Genomic DNA, 8,345 nt, shown 5'->3' with positions numbered 1-8,345 from the left:
TGTGTTAGCCAGGATGGTCTCGAACTCCTGACCTCGTGATCCACCAGCCTCGGCCTCCCAAAGTCCTGGGATTACAGGCGTGAGCCACCGCACCTGGCCTGATTTTAAATTTTTAAAGAAATCTTTATTTTGTTTTTCATAATGGCTGCCCTCATTTACATTCAAACCAACAGTGTGCAAGCATTCTATTTTCTTCACACCTTTACTAATACTCATTTTCTTTTTCTTTTTAATCAGAGTCATTCTAACAGGAGTGAGTTGATATCTCATCTTTTTTTATTTTTTTGCTTTCCTTTCCCTGATAATAATTGATATTGAGCATTTTTAAATATATCTTTTGACTATGTATGTCTATTCTTGAAAATAAGCCTTTTGCTCATTTTTAATAGTACTTTTTGTATTGTAATTTGAGATTCTTATATATTTTTGATATTAACACGTTGTCACATGTATGATTTGCACATTTTTTCCATTTTTTAGTTGTCTGATCCTGTTGATTGTCTCAGATTCTTTGCAGCAATTTTTTTATTTGAAGTAATCTGATTAATCTATTTTTCTTTTGGTTCCCTGGGATTTTGAAGTTATATCAAAAAAGTCACTGCCCAAACTAATGTTATGGGTCTTTCACTCTGTTTTTTTTTGTAGTGGTTTCAGAGTGTCAGACCTTACATTGTAATATCTAATTTATTTTGAGTTAATTTTTATATATGGTATCAGATGAGGGTCTCATTTTATTGCTCTGCATGTGGCTAGAAAGTTTTCTCAGTGGACGCGTTGGCTCACATCTGTAATCCCAACACTGGGAGGCTGAGGCAGGCAAATCACCTGAGGTTGGAAGTTTGAGACCAGCCTGATCAACATGGAGAAATCCCATCTCTACTAATAATACAAAAATTAGTCGGGCATGGTGGTGCATGCCTGTAATCCCAGCTACTCGGGAGGCTGAGGCAAGCTTGAACAATGTGGAGGCAGAGGTTGCAGTGAACTGAGAGCGTGCCATGGACTCCAGCCTGGGCAACAAGAGCAAAACTCCCTCTCAAGAAAAAAAAAAAAAAGGAAAGGAAAAAAGAAAGTTTTCTCAATACCATTTATTGAAGATACTGTCCTTTCTCTAAGAAAATGTCACCTATATCTAATATCAATTAGCTGTAAATACATGGATATATTTCCACACTCCTCAGCTACATTGCCCTATGTATCCAGTTTTATTGAAGTACCACACTGTTTTGGTTACTATAGTTTTTCAGTATGTTGCAAAGTCAGGTAGGGTGATACTTTCAGCCTTTTTTACTTTTTTATTCCTTTGGCTATTCTGGGTCTTTTGTGGTACCATATGAATTTTACATATATTTTACAAAATTTATATTAAGTATTTCACTGGCTACTGAGACCAGCTCGGTTGGGGAGACCCTAACCCAGCGGCGCTAGAGGAATTAAAGACACACACACACAAATACAGAGGTGTGAAGTGAGGAATCGGGTCTCCCAGCCTTCAGAGCTGAGAGCCCTGAACAGAGATTTACCCACATATTTATTAACAGCAAACCAGTCATTAGCATTGTTTCTATAGATATTAAATTAACCAAAAGTATCTCTTATGGGAAACGAAGGGATAGGACGAATTAATTGAATAGGTTGGGCTAGTTAACTGCAGCAGGAACACTCCCTTAAGACAGATGGCTCAGGCTTCTGTTTGTGTCTTAAGAATGCCTTTAAGCGGTTTTCTACCCTGGGCAGGCCAGGTGTTCCTTGCCCTCATTCCCATAAACCCACAACCTTCCAGCTTGGGCGTTACAGCCATTATGGACACGTTACATTGCTGCAGAGATTTTATTTATGGCCAGTTTTGGGGCCAGTTTATGGCTAGACTTTGGGGGGCTTGCTCCCAACAACTGGCATTTTGATAGAGGTTGCATTATATCTGTAGATCATTTTGTGTAATACAGCTGTTTAAAAATATTAATGCTGGCCGGGCACGGTGGCTCACGCCTGTCATCTGAGCACTTTGGGAGGCTGAGGGGGGCAGATCACGAGGTCAGGTGTTTGAGACCAGCCTGGCCAATATGGTGAAACCCCATCGCTACTAAAAATACAAAAGTTAGCCAGGCGTGGTGGTGCACACTTGTAATCCCAGCTATTCAGGAGGCTGATGCAGGAGAATCTCTTGAACCCAGGAGGCAGAGGTTGCAGTGAGCCGAGATCATGCCATTGCACTCCAGCCTGGGTGACAGAGCGCTACACCGTCTCAAATACATCTATATATAGATACACACACACATACACACACGTATATACACACACATATATATACATGTATATATATATGCCAATTCATGAATGAGTAATGTATTTTTATTTGTGTATTACTTAGTTTTTTACTTAAATGTTTTTTAGATTGTAAGGTGTTGAAACTTTTTGGCTAAATTTATTTCAAAGTATAGTTAACTACAGCTATTGTAGATGGAATTTCTTTTTTCATTTCAATTTGAGATAATTGTTAGTGTATAAAACTGCTATTGACTTTTGTACATTGATTTTTTTATTCTGCAAGTTTAACAAATTTATTAGTTCTAGTAGTTCTTAGTAAATTCTTAGGCTTTTCTATACCTAAAATTATGTCATCTGCAAACAGGAATAATTTCACTTTTTCTTTTCCATCTGGATGCCTTTATGGTATTTGGCTGTGTCTCCACCCAAATCTCATCTTGAATTGTAGCTCCCATACTCCCCACAGGTCATAGAAAAGACCCAGTGGAAGGTAATTGAATCATGGCAGTGGGTTTTCCCATGCTATTCTCATGATAGTGAATAAGCCTCATGAGATCTGATGGTCTTATAAAGGGCAATTTACTTGCACATGCTCTCCATTATCACCATGTAAGACATGACTTTTCTCCTCCTTCACCTTCCATAATGATTGTGAGGCCATCCCCAGCCATGTTGAATTGTGAGTTCTTTAAACCTCTTTCCTTTATAAATTTTCCAGTTTGGCGTATGTTTTTATTAGCTGCAAGAGAACAGAATAATACACTTTGATTTATTCTCTAATTTGTTTGTCTTGGACATTTAGTACTATGTTTAGTAAGACTGGAGAAAGTGGGCATTTTTGTATTATTCTAGCTCTTAGAGTAAAAGCTTACAACATTACCTCATATAGTATGTTATTAGCTGTGAATTTTTTTAAGTTATATGTGGCATTTATTGGCTTGCAGTGCATTTTTTTATACTTATGCTTTTCAGAGATTTATTGTGAGGGACTGTGACTTTTCTAGAACTTTTATCCAGCATCAATTTAAACGTTACAGTTGTAAAACCACAATTAATACCACAGAAATACAAACATCCTCAGATACGTCTATGAACACCTCTACGCTTGCAAACTAGAAACTTCAGAGAAAATAAATAAACTACTGGATTCACATGACCCAAGATTTAACCAGAAAGAAACAAAAATCTTGAACAAAACAGAAATGTCTAAAATGTATAATAAAATTGAATTAGTAATAAAAAACTTATCAACCGAAATAGCCCTAAATCAGATGAATTCTCAGCTGAGTTTTACAACATATATTGCAAAAAGATGAGCTGGTACTAATCCTACTGAATGTATTCAAAAAAATCAAGGTGTGATTCCTCCCTAACTTATATAAAACCATTGTCAGCCAGGCCTGGTGGCCCGCTTGTAATTCCAGCACTTTGGGAGGCTGAGGCGGGCAGATCACCTGAGGTCGGGAGTTTGAGACCAGCCTGACCAACATGAAGAAACCCCATCTCTACTGAAAATACAAAATTAGCCGGGCGTGGGGGCACATGCTTGTAATCCCAGCTACTCGGGAGGCTGAGGCAGGAGAATCGCTTGAACCTGGGAGGCAGAGGTTGCAGTGAGCTGAATTCGCACCATTGCACTCCAGCCTGGGCAACAAGAGTGAAACTCTGTCTCAAAAACAAACAAACAAAAACAAAAAAAAAAACACCATTGTCATCTTGTTACCACGATTTAGTGAAGACAGAACAACAACAAAAAAACTATAGGTCAATATTCCTGATGAACATTAAAACAAAAATCCTCCACAAAATACTAGCAAACTGAGGGGCAGGGCACGGTGGCTCACCCCTATAATTCCAGCACTTTGGGAGGCCGAGGCGGGCGGATCACGAGGCCGGGAGATCCAGACCATCATGGCTAACACAGTGAAACCCCGTCTCTACTAAAAAAATACAAAAAAATTAGTTGGGCGTGGTGGGGGGCACTGTTAGTCCCAGCTACTCAGGAGGCTGAGGCAGGAGAATGGCGTGAACCCAGGAGGCGGAGCTTGCAGTGAGCCGAGATCACACCACTGCACTCCAGCCTGGGCGACAGAGGGAGACTCCATCTCAAAAAAAAAAAAAAAAAAAAACTAGCAAGCTGAGTTCATAAGCAAATCAAAAAGTTATTTTGCCACTATCATGTGAGCTTTATTTTATGAATGCAAAAATGTTCATATACAAGTCAATAAGTGTGATTCACCTTGTAAAAATATATAAGCAAAAAATCATAATTATCACAAGTGCAGAAAAAGCATTCAAGAAAATCCAGTATTCATAAAAATATTATCAACAAGGCTGAGTGCAGTGGCTCACGCCTGTAATCCCAACGCTTTGGGAGGCCGAGGCGGGTGGATCATGAGGTCAAGAGATCGAGACCATCCTGGCCAACATGGTGAAACGCCTTCTCTACAAAAAATACCAAAATTAGCTGGGCGTGGTGGTGGATGCCTGCAGTCTCAGCTACTTGGGAGGCTGAGGCAGGAGACTCGCTTGAACCTGGGAGGTTGAAGTTGCAGTGAGCCACTGCACTCCAGCCTGGTGACTGCGAGACCCCGTCTCAAAAAAAAAAAAAAAAAGACCGGGCATGGTGGCTCACACGCCTGTAATCCCAGCACTTTGGGAGGCCGAGGTGGGCTGATCACAAGGTCAGGAGTTCGAGACCAGCCTGGCCAATAAGGTGAAACCCTGTCTCTACTAAAAATACAAAAATTAGCCAGGCATGGTGGTGGGCACCTGTAGTCCCAGCTACTAGGGAGGCTGAGGCAGGAGAATCACTTGAACCTGGGAGGCGGAGGTTGCAGTGAGCCGAGATCACGCCACTGCACTCCAGCCTGGGCGACAGAGTAAGACTCCATCTCAAAAAAAAAAAAAAATCAATAAACTAGGCATAGAAGAAACATACCTCCAAATAATAAGAGTCATCTATGACAAATCTTCAGCCAAAATCATACTGAATGGGCAAAATCTGGATGCATTCTCCATAAGAATAAAAATAAGAAAAAAATATGCACCCTAAATACTCCTATTCAACATAGTTCTAAAAGTCCTAGCCAGAGCAATTCAACAAGATCAAGAAATAAAAGTCATCCAAATAGGAAAAAAAAGGAAGTCAAATTATCTTCACAGGTGAAATAATTCTCTACCTGGAAAACTTTATAGATTTCACTAAAACACCCCTAAGACTAAAAAATGACTTCAGCAAAGTCTGACCATACAAAACCAACATACACATATGAGTAGCATTTCTGTACACCAATAACATTCAAGCTGAGGACAAAATCAAGAACACAGTTCTGTTTACAATAGCCACAAACAAATAATATACCTAAGAATACATTAAATCAAGTAGATAAAATATCTCTACAAAGAAAATTACAAAACAGTGCTGAAGAAAATTAAACACAAATAAATAAAAAAGCATTTTATGCTAATGGATTGGAAGAATCAATATAATTAAATGTCCATGCTGTTTGAAGCAACCTACAGATTAAGTGCTGTTTCTATCAAACTATCAATGCCATTTTTCATAGAATTCAGATAAAATCTTCTAAAATTCATATAAGAAATTAAAAAGCCAAAAACCCAAGGCAATGTGAAAGTGAATCAACTTGGATGCCTCATATTACCTGACTTTAAACTATACTATAAGCTACAGTAGCCAATATAACATGGTTCTGGTACAAAAGTATACATAATGACCAATTGAACAGAAGAGAGAGCCCTGAAACAAAGCTACACTTCTACAAGCAACTTATTTTTGACAAAGTCAACAGAAATTAACAAAGAGAAAATAACTCCCAGTGCAATAAATGGCACTGGGAAAATTGGTTAGTCTTACGCAGAAGAAGAAAACTAGACCCCTACCTCTCACTATATATAAAAAACCAAATAGCTCAAGATAGATTAAAGACTTAACAGTGAAACTTCAAGCTATAAAAATCCTAGAGCACTTAGAAAGTACTCTTCTAGACACTGGCCTCCAGAAAGCATTTATAACTAACACCTTAGAAGTGAATACAACAAAAATAAAAATTAGCACCTAATTCAACTGCAGAGCTGCACTGTAAAAGAAACTATTGACAAAGTAAAAAAAACAACCTACAGTATAAAATGTTTGCAAACTGCATGCAACAAAGCGTTAATATATAGAATCTATCAGGAATTTAATAAGAAAAACGCAAATGATATGAATAGACACTTCTCAAAGGAAGACATAAAAGCAGCCAATAAACATGCAAAAAATTGTTCAACATCCCAAATCAATAGAGATACAAATCAAAATGGCAATGTGATACCATCTCACGCCAGTTAGAATGGCTCTTATTAAAAAGTAAAAAGTGGCTGGGCATGGTGGCTCACACCTGTAATCCCAGCACTTTGGAAGGCTGAGGTGGGCAGATCACGAGGTCAAAAGACCGAGACCAGTCTGGCTAACACAGTGAAACCCTGTCTCTGCTAAAAGTACAGAAAATTAGCCGGGCGTGGTGGCACATGCCTGTAGTCCCAGCTACTCGGGAGGCTGAGGCAGGAGAATCGCTTGAACCCGGGAGGTGGAGGTTGCAGTGAGCCGAGATCAGGCCATTGCCCTCCAGCCTGGGCAACAGAGCAATACTCTGTCTCAAAAAGAAAAAAAAAAAAAGTCAAAAAGTGGGCCATGTGCAGTGGCTCGCACCTGTAATCCCAGCACTTTGGGAGTCCAAGGCAGGCGGATCACTTGAGATCAGGAGTTTGAGACCAGCTTGGCCAACATGGCAAAACCCTGTCTCTACTAAAAATACAAAAATTAGACAGGCATGATGGCAGGTGCCTGTAATCCCAGCTACTTGGGAGGCTGCGGCAGGAGAATCACTTGTACCCGGGAGGCAGAGGTTGCAGTAAGCCAAGATCATGCCACTTCACTCCAGCCTGGGCAACAGAGCAAGACTCCATCTCAGGAAAGAAAAAAAAAAAAAAAACCAACAGAAAAATTACTCATTACTCATTAGGTAATACTGTAAACTACTTGGACAATGGGATTATTAAGTGTCCAAACCTCAACAACATGCAGTATACCTATGCTACAAATCTGTACATGTACACCTGAATCTATAATAAAAATAATAAAATGCCTTGTGGTATAATGACATGTTACATTTTTCCAATTCTTGGTTCATAGTTAGCATTGGGTTGAAAGACACAGAATTATTTTCCCTTTGGGCATAAGAGTGAATGTTTCTATGCCAGGTCTCCCCACATCCTATAAGCTAACATCTCTGAAAGCTTTTAGCCCGAAAAATGTTTTATTCTTAACTGTGTGGTTAAAATAAATGACTCCACATCTTTATTTTTAATTAATTAACTGTACACTAGACTATCGAGTTAATTTGTTACTGTACTGTTTTTAGAAAAAAATGTGGTTTTAAAACCGCATTTCTGAGGCTGGGTGTGGTGGCTCATGCCTATAATCCCAGCACTTTGGGAGGCCGAGGTGGGTGGATCACTTGTGGTCAGGAGTTCAAGAGCAGCCTGGCCAACATGGTGAAACCCCAGCTCTACTAAAAATACAAAATTAGCCAGGTGTGGTGGTGCACACTTCTCAGGAGGCTGAGGCAGAAGAATTGCTTGAACCTGGGAGGTGGAGGTTGCAGTGAACCAAGATCGTGCCACTGCACTCCAGCCTGGGTGACAGAGTAAGACTCTGTCTCAAAAAAAAAAGAAAAAAAAGAAACCGCATTTCTTTTTTAGAATAAACTATTTTTGAAAATGAGTGGGTGTGCAGATCAGGTTAAATTCCTGACTTATGAAAAGAAAATATTTTTATAAAGAAAAAAGGCATCAAAGTCTAATGTCCATAGCCCAAGAATGATGAGAGTGTTGGTTACTTAAGATCACACTGCCACAACCATTTCATCACAACTATTCTGGTGGAAAAAAAATAATTGATCAGAATTTATTTTTAGAATACTTTTCTAATTCTATTGCAGTCTTAAATTTTTATTTGTGTTTATTGTTTGTCATATACTAGTCTGTACTTCTACAAAAGATGCCGTGAATTTCAA

This window comes from Homo sapiens, chromosome 19 (assembly GCF_000001405.40).
Source record: "Homo sapiens chromosome 19, GRCh38.p14 Primary Assembly".
Classification (NCBI taxonomy): domain Eukaryota; kingdom Metazoa; phylum Chordata; class Mammalia; order Primates; family Hominidae; genus Homo; species Homo sapiens.
This window is presented reverse-complemented; position numbering follows the sequence as displayed.